Genomic DNA, 16648 nt, shown 5'->3' with positions numbered 1-16648 from the left:
GAATTCTGAATTAAATAAACACAGTACAAGGACAATAAAGGAATGGATGCTACATATAACTAATACAAATGAATCTCACAAATAATGATCAACAAAAGAAGTGACAAAAGAATAAATACAGTAATTCCATTTATTGAAGTACAAAATATACAAAACTAAATTATACTTTTTGATATATGTGCAGGTCATAAAGAAAAGCAAAGAAGAAGAAAAGTCAGAATAGTAATCTCTAGAGGAACAGAAGAGAAAAATGATAGCAAAGAAATACACATATGATTTCTGGGATGCCAACAATACTCCAATTTCTCGAGATGATCATGTTATAAGTATTCTTTACACGGCACATCTACATGTGCATGTGCATACTTTAAAAATGTATTTTATTTTTCAGAGTTAAAAAAGAGAAAAAATAGAAAAGTAGTACTACTGCTCTCTGGCAAACTGTAACTTCTACCTGGAACAGTGAAGCCAGTGATGAACTTAACATCACAAGTGGCAGTCGCTGAATAACAAAAAGTGAAAATGAACCCTGCAGGTCAAGTGTTAATCTTCACAAATAAAATAAATTTACTACGTGCTTTTTAACGTAACTAGCAAAACTGACCTTTGAATATCAAAACGGCATCTGATAAAGATTAAACATAAACTATTCAAAACATTAAGTATAAGGCCAGGTGTGCTGGTTCACACCTGTAATCCCAGCACTTGTAGAGGCCGAGGCAGGCAGATCACATGATGCTAGGACCAGCCTGGCCAACATGGTGAAACCCCGTCTCTAATAAAAACAGACACACAAAATTAGCCAGGCATGGTGGCACACGCCTGGAATCCCAGCTACTCGGGTGGCTGAGGCATGAGAATCACTTGAATCCGGTAGAAGGAGGCTGCAGTGAGCTGAGATCACACCACTGCACTCCTGCCTGGGTCATAGAGCAAGACCCTGTCTTAAAAACAAACAAACAAACAAACAAACAAACAAACAAACAAACCATTAAGTACAAAACACTTAATGAATATTTTAATACTAGAATTATTATACTTAACGTAGAAATACTAAAATAATTCCTTCAAAAAACAGAAATAAGGTAGTAGTGTTTCCCTTTACTTCTCCTATTTCATGAAAACATCAAGAGATCACCTAAATAGCCAGAAATTTAAAACACAAAACATTGTGATAAAAATGATTAAAATAAGAAGACATAATTAATTGCTATTCTACTATTCTATGACACACCAAAAATATAACCAGTCATTCGATTACGATTGTGTGACAATTATTAAATACTTCTAGAGTACCAAGTCTTCATTAACAATAATACAGAATACTTCAATCACGTGGTATATTAACTTCAATCTGGAATTATGTGCCCGAGAATGATGGTTATTGTGTATGTTATGTAAATTACTCACTCACCACAACTCTCCTAGCATTATTTCACATCAAATTAGAGTACGGTACCAGAAAACTATGTACCTAGGCGATATTACTGGGTACTGTGGCACTGCCACTACAGAGTTTTAACTTAACAGCTTTGGTCTTAGCTCTACATAGAAAAAAATATAAATATGGCCATACGTATTAGGTTTCCAAAGCTATTCATGAAAACTTCATCCACAGTAACACTTCGGATAAAGAACTGGCATTCAAAGTGTTTCTAAACGTGGTTTCAAACTTCAGCACTATTTGCAGTGTGGGCCGAGAAATTCTTTGCCGTGGGGGCTATCCGGAGAACTACAGGACGTTTAGCAGCACCCAGCACTCTACTCACTAGATGCCGGTAGCACCCCTCAAGTTGCAAATGTCCCCAGACAGTGCCAAAGATTCCTTAGCGCCAAAACTGAGCCTTACTTGAGAACCACTGCTCTAAATGAAGTAACACGAGGCAAATTTCTCACAAAATCCTACCGGAAAAATTAAAAGTTCTCTCCTAATGAAGTGAGTGCCTCCTTTTACAAGAAAATTATAGCATCTCTCACGTTTCATTACATCCCTACAGTAGGACCTCAGTATCTCTCACGTTTCATTACATCCCTACATAGCACCTCAGTATCTCTCACGTTTCATTACATCCCTACATAGCACCTCAGTATCTCTCACGTTTCATTACATCCCTACATAGCACCTCAGTATCTTCTGGGGATTGGTTCTAACACTCCCCTGGAATATGAAAATCCACAGATGCGCAAGTCCCTGATATAAAATGCTGTCGTATTTGCAGATAATCTATGCACATCTTCGCATATATTTTAAATCATCTCTCGATTTCTTTTTTTTTTTTCTTTTTTTTTTTTTGAGACGGAGTCTCGCTCTGTCGCCCAGGCCGGACTGCGGACTGCAGTGGCGCAATCTCAGCTCACTGCAAGCTCCGCTTCCCGGGTTCACGCCATTCTCCTGCCTCAGCCTCCCGAGTAGCTGGGACTACAGGCGCCCGCCACCGCGCCTGGCTAATTTTTTGTATTTTTAGTAGAGACGGGGTTTCACCTTGTTAGCCAGGATGGTCTCGATCTCCTGACCTCATGATCCACCCGCCTCGGCCTCCCAAAGTGCTGGGATTACAGGCGTGAGCCACCGCGCCCGGCCTCGATTTCTTCTAATACCCAATACAATGTAAACACTATGTAAATAGCTGTTACACTATATTATTTTCTATTTATTTTTTATTGTTGTATTATTCTGTTTTATTGGTGTTTTTTTCCATAATATTGTCAATCCACCGTTGGCTGAATCCAAAAATGCAGAACCTATGGATATGGAGGACCCACTGTACCTGTTATGTTACTACTACCTAGTCCAATCCTGTTAACATTTGCTCTTATAGAAGCTTTTACATGTATCATCTCATTAATGCTCACAACCTTTAGAGACAGGAGCTCTGTAAGGAATTTGACTCCGTTTTCATAAGAAGAAAGGTTATTTTATAGGTGAATACAATAAAGAGCATTTGCTAATACTTTTTTCATCTTTTTATGGCTTGAAGTTTCATTTGCCTTTTTCTTCTCTATTATCTACCACAAATCTTTAATAATTTGGTTGTAATCTGGATATTAGCTTTCTTTAGAAAATATTTTATATTCCTTAAATCTTTTTTAACATGATAAATAATAAACATAAATAGGAATAAAGAGGAATGAATTTAGTTCCTGGCTGGAGATGACTAAATAAATTACAAGTGATAATATTCTTTAAGTTATTAGTATAATTTAACAAACTAAAGACACTCAAATGATGTTTCAAAGGTTGTTGAAAAAACTGATAAATTTACCTAGAAAAAAAGTTTTGAGATAAAGTTAATGACGTTGAAGATGACCTACTGACTTTGTAAACAAAGGGCAAAAGAAATGCAAAAAGGCTGGGCTTACGCCTATAATCCCAGCACTTTGGGAGGCCGAGGTGGCTGAATCACCTGAGGTCAGGAGTTCCAGACCAGCCTGGCCAAAATGGTGAAACCCCGACTCTACTAAAAATTCAAAAAAATTAGCCAGGTGTGTAATCCCAGCTTCTCGGGAGGCTGAGGCAGGAGAATCACTTGAACCCAGGAGGTGAAGGTTGCAGCAAACCGAGATCACACCACTGCACTCCAGCCTTGGGGACAGGGCAAGAGACTCCATCACAAAAAAAAAAAAAAAAAAAAAAAAAAAGAAGAAGAAGAAATGCAAAAAATTGGATTAAAGACAAAACAATGAATCTAGAATGAAATGGAAACTTCTGTGTGATTATGTAGCATATGATTAGGTAGATTTAAAATTTTTTTAAAGAATACCTATTTACTAAGTGCTACCAGGAGAACTGGGTATCAGGGTAAAGAAAGAGTACTTTAAATCTATGTTTTGTAAGTTAAGTTAAATAAATTCCACATGCATTAAAGCAATGAACATTTACAAGAAACAAACACATACACACAGCTAAAGAACTAAAAGAAACTAGTATGCTTGACTCTGTTGCAAATGGATATTAAGTGAAAAAATTGCCTTGAAAGGACAAGATAAGCAATTTAAAAGATTTTTTTGAAAAGATGTTTAAACAACAAAATCTAATAAATTTCAAAAGAAAAATGACTGAAAAAGAAAAAATATGTAACAATCATCATTCCTCAATGTAATTCATAACATATCAATTCAAAGGAGGTGATATGAAAAGATTTTCATGATAGGTAGCAAATGTAATTAAAATTTGACACGGAAATTTCAGATAATAGATCATTACATGTGAAAAACGGACAGTGTCACTGAAGAAATGAAATATAACAACTTGAAGACGCCATTATATGTAAAATGAGCAAAAAATTAAATAGAACCAAAGTGGCTATAGGGAAAACAGAATGCCTGCAAACTGCTGGAAGTACTATAAATTAGTTCATCTTTGGTAACAAAAATTTAAGAAAAGCTACAACACTTCATATACTTTGAGTAAGTTTGCTCTGAGGAATAGCCAAAGGAAATCACCAAATTGGGTACAATTTATCTGTACAAATTTGCTCTGTGAAAATTGAAAATTAAGAAATGTCCAGAAAAAGAGGAACGTGTATAAAGCTACTGAACTCTGGATTCAACTGAAAATAGTAAGTACAAGCATCATTATGAAACACATAACTCATGGAAATGTTTAAATGATATAAAGTTTTTAAAAAGCAAAATACGGAAGAGTGTATATATATTAGTATTACAAATAAGTAAAATTAAAGTTTAAAAGAAAATGTAGAGGGATATAAACAAATATATATTATGGATTAATTTTTCTAGTATGTTAATTAAAATTTATAATTTTTAGACAAAAGCAAAGGTATACGACCAAAGCTATATGACCTTCAGTTTAAAAACAGAAGAAACCAACTCCATGAAATTCAAGCAAAGATATGAAAAAAGAGTTACTTGGAAAATACGGAAAATATTTCTCAAGTAAAGGGAAAACACAAATAAGGAGCTTGGCTAAGAAATGAACCCAGAGTCACAGGCTCCACTCCAGGGCTACGCAAATATGGTTAAAAAGCTAGTTTAGAACTGAAAGACACACTAAAGTCTAAGAGTGAAGTCTTATCTGTCTTAAGACTCATTTTACAGATACGAAAGTTTCAAGTGGTTAAGTGATATCTTTCTTTTCCAGCATTTTATTAGGGACAATTTCAAACATGCAAAAGTATAGGAAAGATAATATCATACACCCCATGTCACCACCACTCAGCTTCAATAAACTATCAAAAAATGGCCAATGTTTCCCCTACTACCATTGGAATTTTAAAAAGTAAATCCCAGTGTTAGGGCACTGGTGTCCCAGCAATCTCCAAATTATTTTTATAGTCTCACAATGAAGTTTCCGGATTTAAAAATACTTTGTTTTAAACAACTGTGCTCATTAGTCTTTCTTATGCTCAAACTGTCTATCCTAGGCCAGTGATAGCCCCTTCATTCTTGCTCCTCTGTCCATCCTTATATGACCCCAGTAGTCTTTGATAGGTTCTTAATTTTTCATATCGCATGATGCTATAGCGCAGTGATTTTTCAAAATGTGGTTCCTGGTCCAGGAATTTTATCATCACCCAGGAACTTATTAGAATGCAAATTCATGGGGCTTTCCCCAAACTTACTGAATCAAAACCCCTAGGGACAGGAGACAGCAATCTACTTTTCTAATAGCCCTCCATGTAACTCCAACGCACACAAGTTTGAGAACCACTAATTTAGGTTTGTCTTGTACATTTCTTGCTCTAATCCTGGAATGAGTAACTTCTCCAAGAATTCCTAACTTCTTTTATTTTCATTTAATTTATTTTAGAGACAGGGCCTTGCCCTGTCACATACGCTGGAGTATAGTGGCACAATCACAGCTCACTGCAACCCTGAACTCCTGGGATAAAGCAATTCTCCAGTCTCAGCCTCTACAGTAGCTGGGACCGTACGTGTACACCATCCTGCCAGGCTAATTTCTTAAATTTTTTTAGAGGCAGGGTCTATGTTGCTCAGGCTGGTCTTGAACTCTGGTCTCAAGTGATCCTTCATCTCACCTCCCGAGTCGCTAGGATTAGCATAAGCCACGATGGCCGGCTGTATTTCTTCATTATGTTGTTGTAAATGACAACGCAGTGGTGGGGAGTACCCCTAACACCCAGATTGCAATCTCTAAATATGATCCATAGGGCCAGGCACAGTGGCTCACGCCTATAGTCCTAGCACTTTGGGAGGCTGATGCAGGAGGTTCGTGTGGAGCCAGGAGTTCGAGAACAGCCTAAGGCAACATAGTGAGACTTTGTCTCTACAAAAAATTAAAAAATTACAAGCCTGCAGTCCCAGCTACTTGGGAGGCTGAGACAGGAGGATCACACAACTGCACTCCGGCCTAGGTGACAGAGTAAGACTGTCTGTCAAATAAGTAAATAAATAAATAAACAAACAGAAATATACTTAAGTAACTGAGTAGTTAGTAAAAGAACTGAGATCAGATCCTAAGTATCCTAACTTGTAGTCCAGTGCTCTTTTCACGGTATTTGAATGAATTACATCTCTGTGTAATTTGCACATGGCCATCAGCTATCTTTTTCATAACTTTGGTATCTATCATTTACTTAGACACCTTGGGGAAGCCAGTCATCCACTCTAAATTAGTTTTCCCTATAGGTAAAATATAAATAATATAATCTATCTTATTTATCTTTTAGTTTATATAAAAAGGAAATAAGAGATTACATATGAAAGCACTTTTGGTGTTATAACAACTGAGAGAAGATTAGAAGAGTATCTTTGGTTTATAGAGAGAGACTGCTAATAGAAAACATTAAATGATGAGCAGGGTAAGAAAGACAAATGAAACAGTTAAAGTGCTAACATAAAGAGAGGCTTGCCTTATCATAAAATAAATACTTTCTAGAATTAAACAACAATGTGGCCATAGTTCAAGAAGGGAGGTTAAACTGAAATCCTAGAAACAGACTCATCATTAATTTCATGAAATATAAAGACATCAATTCAAGTTTGTGAGCAATGAAATAATTCCCTATAAACATTCTTGTGAAGTTGTTAGCAATAAAGAAAAAATATCCTCACCACACAAATACCACAAAATGAATTAAAAAGTAAAGGCAAAAATATGAAAGCACAGAACAACTTAAAAGTATTTATGTGTAAATATATACTCTCAAAATGTGGATAAACTAAGCAAAAAATCCATGGGAGGAAAACCTAACAATGGAAGAGAGATTTAAATTACATTAACAAGCAAAAGAAAATTCAAGACTTGAAAAAACAATGTCATTGGTAATCAGAGAAATATAAATTAACACAGAATGAAATATTTACCACTCATCAGATTTGTATTTTGTTAAAAAAAAAAAAAAGGAGGAAGAACAGAAAGATGAGAAAACTGCCAATATTAACTGTTATTGGCAAGGATGAGGAAAAACGGGCATGCTGCTTTTTGCAAAATTTGGTGCATTTGAGGAAATTTATACTTTTTCTATAAACATAATCAGTAAAAGTTACATAAAAGAGGAATGAGAAAAAGAAGTAAAAAGTAGAGTCTTCTTCATATGTTAAAAGAATTTGTTGTAAAGCCTCAGAATGGCTTCTACATAGTAAACCCTCCAAATCTCTCCAGTAAAGATTGTAATTGCGGCATATACACAGTATCAGACCCAATTAGAAATTGTTAACTAGAGAAAAACAATCTGGCAGTGGCTTAGTCTTAGCATGGCTTTCAGAGACTCCAGCACATTTATGGTATTCTTCCCTATAATCTACACCTTCATTCTGAAGCATTATGATCAAGACAAAGAGGACAGTCTACAGATTCAGGAAGTCCCAGTTAAAATCATGGCTGAGCCATTTAGAAGCTGTGTGCATTTACGTAAGTAACACAATGTCTCTGAATCTATTTCCCCCGGTGCAAAATGTATACAATACCACCTGCTCCACTTGGATTACTGTGAAGGTTAGAACAAAATGAATGACCAGAGCCTAGTTTCAAATACTGAGGACCTAACTGGCACTTATAATATGGTAGCTGCTACTGCTGTTGTTGAGCCTGGTTTAATTAATCTGTGAATAATTAGGTTTAGGCATCAATTATCACTCCACTGAAGTGAAAAAATACAGTTTATATGTCACATTCTGTATGACTGTAAAATATTCTTACTAAACTGAATATTTAAAAAGAGGAAAGGAAGGAAAGATAGAGGGAGGTTAGAGAGGTAGAAGGAAAAGAGAAAGGAAGAATAGAAAAAAGGAAGAAAGACACAAACCAAGATTAGCAATCCATTTTAATGAATGGAACTGGCAAAGAGGTATACTGACAACCCTGAAGCCTAATATAACCCACTCATTAAACTGTCATTGAACTTACCAATTAAGTGTGATCAACTTGAAGCAAGATGAACTTTCTCCTATGCTGAGGTGTCCTCATAAAGCTGTGGAATAAAACTTGCATTTTCTACTTAAAGCCATTCCTTCATTGCTAAACAGTTGGTCTGAGAGGAAGGCAGCAAGCAGGGTTAGAAAGAGAAAAAAGAGGAGGATAAAGATGAAGAGAAAAACAACATGCGATTACGGATCAAATGTCTTCACCCGATCCTTTCAGATTCTCCTTGTGTTCTAACCTGTAGCTGCTGAGAGCTGTCGTTGAGATTGTCCTCCCGTCGTCGCGCCTCCTCTAACATTTGTGCACTCTTCTTTTTTTCCACCTGTTCCTTGTGCTTCAGATTTGCTACCTTCTTATTCTGGTCTTTCACTTGCCTAATGACAGAAGGAGAAAAATCAAGCTTTGCATATGTATGTATAGAAACAAATATGTTTATCTAGAGACTTACACCAGTGACAATAAGGAATGGCTGAAAACCAACGAATAAATACATGCTGCGAAATTTTTCAACAATTCCAAATTCGTTCCTCTCAATGGTAGCACATTCGTTTACAAAAATAAGTTTTCCCATAAAGAACATGTATTTCAGCATGTATTCTACGAAGAACAATGAAATCATAAAACAAAAGAAAGGCACGGGATCATTTGAAATGACTAAAAAGAAACCAAGTCAGAGATTTTGGAAATACGGAAGCAGTATTTTTGACATCGACGCACTGAAATATTAGAATGGCTGATAGAAAAAGAAAGCTTTGTAAAACAACTCTAATTTTACCATTATTAAATATTTCAAACATTCAATACACTGTATATAATGTAGATGTATATGAAAATAATGACATAAAAATCCATAAACCTAGCTTAAGAAATGGAACATCATATTTACTTCTGAAGCTCCCTATTGTGTCTCTCTCTACTATTGGTCTATCCTCCATTAATAAGAACAACCTATATCTCAAAATTTATGTTTAAAATCCCTTTGCTTTTATTATTGTTTTGCTACATATATATATATGAACTGTTCATTTATAGTTTACATGTTTTTGAGCTTTATAAAGATAAATAATTATTCATTTTTCTTTTTAGTACAGAATGATATTCAATATTATTCCCTTTCAATAGGTTTCGAGACTTAGACCATTCAGAGTGTAATGTATCTTTTAATCTTCTCCACTTTCACTGAGGTATGAAATAATATATGGCAATTACTTTAATCTACTCCCCAGAAGATGACAATTGCATTGTTTCCATCTTCTTGCCATTTTAAATAATGCTGCTAGGTGCACTCTGATATACCTGGGCAGGAATATCTCTAAGGTATAGGCCTAGGAACTGAATTGCTAGGAAATACAGTAGGTACACCTTATTTTATTTTATTTTCCAAGAAGCTATATTAATTTATACTCTTGCTAGCTGTGCACAACTGTTGGCCATTATACCTCTCCACATCCATTAATACATGGTACTGACTTTCTAAATGTTTCCAATAGGGTAGAAAAAAAATAGTACCTCATTATAGTTTTACAATGCATGTTTCTAACCACCTAGGCTGAATATCTTATCATACAGTATTTGGCCATTCCTGTTTCCACTTCTGTGAAATAGCTATTTGTGTCTTTCTCCACTTTTTAAATTAACATATCTTTTTCTTAATGACTTATAGGTATTCTTTATACATTATAGATAATAATACTTTATCCGTTATATGTTATGTAAGTATTTTCTTCTAGTCTATGATTTCTTTACATCTTTTCATCGATAGAATTCAATTTTATTTTTCTTCCGAGATGGGATCTCACTCAGTCGCCAAGGCTAGTGTGCAGTGGCACAATCTCCGCTCACTGCAGCCTTGACCCCCCAGGCTCAGGTGATTCTCCCACCTCAGCCTCCTGAACAGCTGGAATTACAGGCACATGCCACCACACCCAGCTAATTTGTAGTAGAGATGAGGTTTCACTATGTTGCCTATGCTGGTCTTGAACTCCTGGACTCAAGCAATCCACTGGCCTCTGCCTCCCAGTGTTGGGATTACAGGCATGAGTCACCATGTCCAGCCTAAAACTTTTAATTGTTTCAAATGTATCAATCTTCTCCTTTATAATATACAATTTTGTGACATTTCCACAAAATCTTGTCCATCAAAGTTCATAAAGATATTCCCCTAAAACGACGTTAACTTTGTCTTTCACGTTGCAGTCATTAATCCATCTGAAACCGAGGTTGCATATGTTATGAGGTAAAAACATACTTCCATTTTGGGGGGTTTGGTATAACATAATAATATTTCATTTTTTACATGTATTTATAATGAATTTTCCCAGGAATATTTACATGCATTGCCACTTCTGGTGTGTACAAAGTTTCTATATGCATGTGTACCTGTTTTGTGGCTATGTTTGTATATTTCTGTGCCAGATCTATACCACCTTAATTACTATACCTTTACAAAAAGTAATTAGCAAGGCAAGGCTCCCTACCTTTTTCTTCTTCAAAACTCTCTTGGCTGTTCTTGGCGCTTTACGCTTCTCATAGAAATTTCAGAACTAGCCCGTCAAGTTCCACCAAACCAACCAACCAACTACAGCAACAAAAAACCCAACAGCAGCCTCTGGGATTTTGATTCCAATCACATTGAAGCAATGTCAGTTTGGGAAAAACTTCATGCTTTTGGATCTTTCAATTCATTAACATACTACAGATGCTCCTCAACTTACCATTGGGCTATATCCCAATAAACCCACCATAAGTTGAAAATATCCTAAGTCCAAAATGCATTTAAAACACCTAATCTGGAAAGTAGCAGTTGTTTACTCTCCTGGTTGTGTGGCTAACTGGGATCTGTGGCTCACTGCCACTGTCCAGCATCACAAGAGAGTATCATATTACATACCAATAGCACAGGAAAAGATCAAAATTCAAAGTGTGGTTTTACTGAACGTGTATCACTTTTGCACTATCGTTAGGTTGAAAACTGGTCAGTGTGTTTATCTATTTGTTTAGGTCTCCTTAAAAGGCTAACAAAGCATTATATTTTCCTCCATAAAAAATGTGTATATATTTTATTTCTATGTACATTATACGTTTTGCCATCATTTAAAATTCCAGATATCATGTCATTATACCCTTATACATGCTTCCTGATGCATCTCCAAAAAAGAGCATGTTTAACAACGTAAATTGTAACAAAATTAACAATTCCTCAATATCAGTATAATATATAGTCCATATTCAAATTTCCCCATTTGAATCAAAGTTTATTTCTTACGGCTACTTTATTTGAATCAAAATACAAAAAACGCCCATACATTGTGCTTATTGTCAGATCCTTCAAATCCCTACTAATCTAGAGAAAAGTCTCTTACCTCCTCCAATGTACCCTTTTTGAATGCCAGTGATTTTTTTAAAAAGGAAATCAATTATTCCATACAACGACTCACATTCTGGATTGTATGTTTGCTTCTTCATGATGAAATTCAACTTGTTTCTCTATATCTCTTGCTTTTTGTTTGTTTTGATACTGAATATTAGCTTTAAAGACTTGAATATATTCAATTTTCATTTTTAGGTAAAAATAATAATTAATGGTGTTGTATAACTGACATTGCCTCACATCTGACAGCATATAATATAATGTCTGGTTTTCTTACTCTTTTTTTTTTTTTTTTTTTTTTTGAGACAGGGTCTCACTCTGTTGCCCAGGCTGGAGTGCAGTGGCGCAATGTTGGCTGACTGCAACCTCCACCTCTTGGGTTCAAGCCATTCTGGTGTCTCAGCCTCCCAAGTAGCTAGGATTACAGGCATGCAACACCACACCTGGCTAATTTTTGTATTTTTAGTAGAGAAGGGGTTTCACCATGTGGGCCAAGCTGGTCTCAAACTCCTGGCCTCAAGTGACCCACCCGCCTCAGCCTCCCAAAGTGCTGGGATTACAGGCATGAGCCACTGTGCCTGGTCCTTGGTTTTCTCACTCTTAAAGAGGCTAAGATTAACTAGTGCATCAAGGCAGTGACAGCCTGGTCTCTTCTGTGTGTAGAGTTCACCTTTTATCAACCTTTCACCTAATGGCTCCATGCACTAATGAACTTTTCCTGAATAAATTATTTTAGTAACTTTTTAAAATTACATTTTCTAGTGGCTATTTGCTGGCATATAAACAGGAACATGATTCCCCTATATGGGTATTCTATCTAGAAAACCTGTTAAACGCTCTTGCTAATTCTAATTATTTTTCTATTGTTTTTTTTTTATTTTTCCATGTATTCGGTTTACAGTTATATAACACATCACCGAAGTAAACCAATAAAGCCCTTATGACTGATCACAAAGGAATGGAGATACATGAAATGACTGATGGCATTAAAGATAATCATCCTAAAGAAGCTCAATGAGACTCAAGAGAACCCAGAAACAAAAATCAGGAAACTCAACAAAAATTAGGAAAACAATACATGAACAAAACAAACAGTTTAATAAAGGAATAGAAACTCTAAAGAACCAAACAGAAATCTTGAAACTGAAGAATACACTGACAACTGAAAAAAAAAATTAATAGCTTCAATAGGAAACTCAGTTATGCAGAAGAAAGCATCAGGGAACTCAAACACACATCGTTTAAAATTATCCAGTTAGAGAAACTAAAGAGAAAAGTGAATTAAAAACGACAAAAGCATACAGAAGCTCCGATGCAGCATTAAATGAATGAGCATGTGCATTACCAAGGTCCCAACAGGAGAATAGAAGAAATACCTAGCTCACGTAAATGAATGTCTGTTGCCTGAGAATCTCTCAAATCTTGAAAGAAATACAGACATCTAGATTCATGAAGCTCAAAAGCTCAAGTCAAAGAAAATTACACTGAAACACATTATAATTGAATTCTGAAAAATCAAAGGCAAAGAGGAAATTTTGAAAGCAGCAGGAGAAAAGCAACCTATAATACAAGGAAACCCGCAACACACATACACACCACCATTACCACCACCACCAAGGCAATCAGTGGATTTCTCAGCAGAAACCTTGCAGATCAGGAGGGAATGAGATGATATAGTCAAAGTGCTAATAGACAAAAACTGCCAGCCAAGAATATTATACATAAGAAAGTTGTTGCTGGGCACAGTGGTTCATGCCTGTAATCCCAGCACTTTAGGAGGCTGAGGTGGGTGGATCATGAGGTCAGGAGATCGAAGACTATCCTGGCTAACACAGTGAAACCCCATCTCTACTAAAAATACAAAAATTAGCTGGGCGTGGTGGCGGGCGCCTGTAGTCCCAGCTACTTGGGAGGCGGAGGCAGGAGAATCGCTAGAACCCGGGAGGCAGAGATTGCAGTGAGCCAAGAACATGCCACTGCACTCCTGCCTGGGCAACAGAGCGAGACTCCGTCTCAAAAAAAAAATTGCTTTACTTCTCTGAGAAACAAATAATACAATATCAAGGAGTCAGAGGTGCCATCAGAGGGAAAAAAAAAAAAAGTTGTTCTTCAGAAATAAAGATGAGATAAAGACATTTCCAGACAAACAAAAGCTGACAGAGTTCATCGCACTAGACCTGCCTTATAAGAAATGCTAAAGGGAGCTGAGTTGAAACTAAAGGACACTAAATAAAAACATGAAAACACATTAAAGTATAAAACTCACTGGTAAAAATAAATATACAGTCAAATTCAGAATACTGCAATGCTGTAATCGTGGTACATAAATCAATTTTAACTAGCATAAAAGTTAAAAGACAAAAGTATAAAAATAACTATAGCTACAATAATTTGTCAATGGGTACACAAATATAAAAAGATGTAAAGTGTGACATCAATAGCATAAACTGTGAAGGAGGGAGACATAAAATTGCAGAATTTTTGTAGGTAATTAAAGTTTAGTTATTACAACCTTAAAACAGCCTAAGATATCTTATGTAACCCTCATAGTAACCACAAAGAAAACTAACCTCCAGTAACATATAAAAGATAGAAAGGAATTAAGCATACAATTACAAAAAAAAAAATCAAATCAGAAAGGAAGGCAGCAAGAGAGAAAGGAACAAAGGACCTACAAAACAGAGAACAACAAAATGGCCTTAACTATCAATAATTACTTTAAATGGATTAAATTCTCCAATCAAAAGATACAGAGTGGCTAACAGACTTTTTTAAGTATCCAACAATATGTTGGCTACAAGAGACTCACTTTAGCTGTAAGGACACACACAGGCTGAAAACAAAAGGATAGAAAAAGATATTCCATGGAAATGGTAACCAAAAAAGAATAGAAATGGGCTTACTTATATCAGACACAATAGACTTTCAGTCACAAGAGACAAGGTTATTATACAACAATAAATGGGTCAATTCATCAAGAGAATATTACAATTGTAAATGTATTAATATATATGCATCCAACCTTAGAGCACCTAAAAATATAAAGCAAATACTAACAGAACTGAAGGGAGAAACAGACAGCAATACAATAACAAGAGAGGACTTTACTACCCCACTTTTAACAATGGATAGGTCAAACAGTCTGTCAATAAGAAAACATTAGACCTGAATAAGAGTATAGAGCAAATAACAGACTATATGAAACATCCATCCAACAGCAGCAGAAAACATATCCTTCTCAAGTACACATAGAGCATTCCCCAGAATATAACATATGTTAGGCCACAAAATTAAGTGTTAAATCCAACTATGTTAAAATCATATCAAGCATGTTTTTCAACTACAATGGTATAAAATTAGAAATCAATAATAGGAGGGAAATTTAAAAATTCACAAATACATGGAAAGTAAACAATATACTCCTGACAAAACCAATGGGTCAAAGAAGAAATCAAAAGGAGAGTCAAAAAGTCAGGCCAAGCGCGGTGGCTCACGCCTTTAATCCCAGCACTTTGGGAGACTGAGGTGGGCGGATCACTTGAGGTCAGGGGTTTGAGACTAGCCTGGCCAACATGGTGAAACCCCATCTGTATTAAGAATTAGCCAGGCGTGGTGGCACATGCCTGTAATCCCAGCTACTCAGGAGGCTGAGGCAGGAGAATCGCTTGAACCCGGGAGGCGGTGGTTGCAGTGAGCCAAGATTGTGCCATTGCACTCTAGCCTGGGTGACACAGTGAGACTCCAACTCAAAAAAAAAAAAAAAAAAAAGAGTCAAAAAGTATCTTCAGGCAAATAAAATGAAAACACAGCATTCTAAAACCTACAGAATACAGCAAAGCAGTTCAAAGAGACAAGTTTATGGCAATAAACTTTAAGAAAATAAAGATCTCAAACAACTTAACCTTACACCTCAAAAAAATAGAAAAAAGAACAACCTAAGCCCAAAGTTAGCTAAAGTAAGGAAATAATAAAGAAATAAATGGGAGACCAGAAAGAAAATTCTAAAAAATCAACATAATAGTTGTTTGTCAAAAGATAATCAAAATTGACAAGCTTTGAGCTAGAATAACTGAGAAAGAGAATTCAAATAAAGAAAATCAGACATGAAAGAGAAGACATTACAACTGATCCACAGGAGTACAAGGAGAATATTATGAAAATTAATACACCAACAACTTGGATAACCTAGAAGAAATGAATAAATTTCTAGAAACATATACCCTAAAGACTGAATCATTAAAACAACAACAACAACAAAATTGAAGACTTTTTTTTTAAAAGAGATTCATTCTTGCTTTGTTGTCCAGGCTGGGGCACAGTGACACCATCATAGTTCATCAAAATTCTGGGGTCAAAGGATCCTCCTGCCTCAGCCTCTCAAGTTGCTGCAACCACAGGCATGCACCGCTGCAACTAGTTAATTTTTTATTTTTTTGTAGAGACCAGTCTTGCTATGTTACCCAGTTTGGTCTCCAACTCCTGGTCTCAAGTGATCCTCCCACCTTGGCCTCCCAAAATGCTGGGATTACACACTGTACCTGGACAAGTGAAGACATATTAATAGCTGAACAGACCAATAACAAGAAAGAAGACTAAAGCAGTAGTCAAAAACCTCCCAACAAAGAAAAGCTGAGGACCAGATGGCTTCATAGCTGATTTCCACCAAACACTTAAGCACAAGCTAGTACCAATTCTTCTCAAATTCATCCAAAGAATTAAAGAGGCAGGAACACTTCCAAACTCATTTTAAAAGGCCAGTATTGCCCTTATACCAAGGCCAGATAAGGATACTATAAGAAAAGAAAATTACAGGTCAATAGTACTGATGAAACTAGACGCAAAACTTTCAACAAAATACTAGGAAACTGAATTCAACAGCACATTAAAAGGACCATTCACTATAATCAAGTGGTTATTTGCAAGGATAGTTCAAA

General features: G+C 35.9%; 1 protein-coding gene and 1 long non-coding RNA gene across 55 annotated transcripts in view; both read right to left on the bottom strand.

Moving 5' to 3' along the window:
* The window catches only part of ERC1 (ELKS/RAB6-interacting/CAST family member 1), a 505975-nt gene that overhangs the window by 250447 nt on the left and 238880 nt on the right, over nucleotides 1-16648 (bottom strand). For all 54 annotated transcript variants that reach the window (NR_027948.3, NR_027946.3, NR_027949.3 and 51 more), the window contains one exon: nucleotides 8583-8718. Coding sequence is in view for 50 of the 54 variants with exons in the window: in XM_047428566.1 (XP_047284522.1) it covers nucleotides 8583-8718 (136 nt within the window). In the remaining 4 variants the exon portion in view is untranslated. The remainder of the gene's footprint in view (nucleotides 1-8582; nucleotides 8719-16648) is intronic.
* Nucleotides 117-8576, bottom strand: LOC124902854 (uncharacterized). The gene is made up of 2 exons (XR_007063154.1): nucleotides 2124-8576; nucleotides 117-2083 (listed from the first exon to the last, which is right to left on the bottom strand). It is a non-coding gene; the product is annotated as an uncharacterized LOC124902854 (long non-coding RNA).

Source organism: Homo sapiens, chromosome 12 (genome assembly GCF_000001405.40).
Source record: "Homo sapiens chromosome 12, GRCh38.p14 Primary Assembly".
Lineage (NCBI taxonomy): Eukaryota > Metazoa > Chordata > Mammalia > Primates > Hominidae > Homo > Homo sapiens.
Note: the sequence above shows the minus strand (reverse complement) of the source record. Positions and strands in the feature narration are given on the sequence as shown.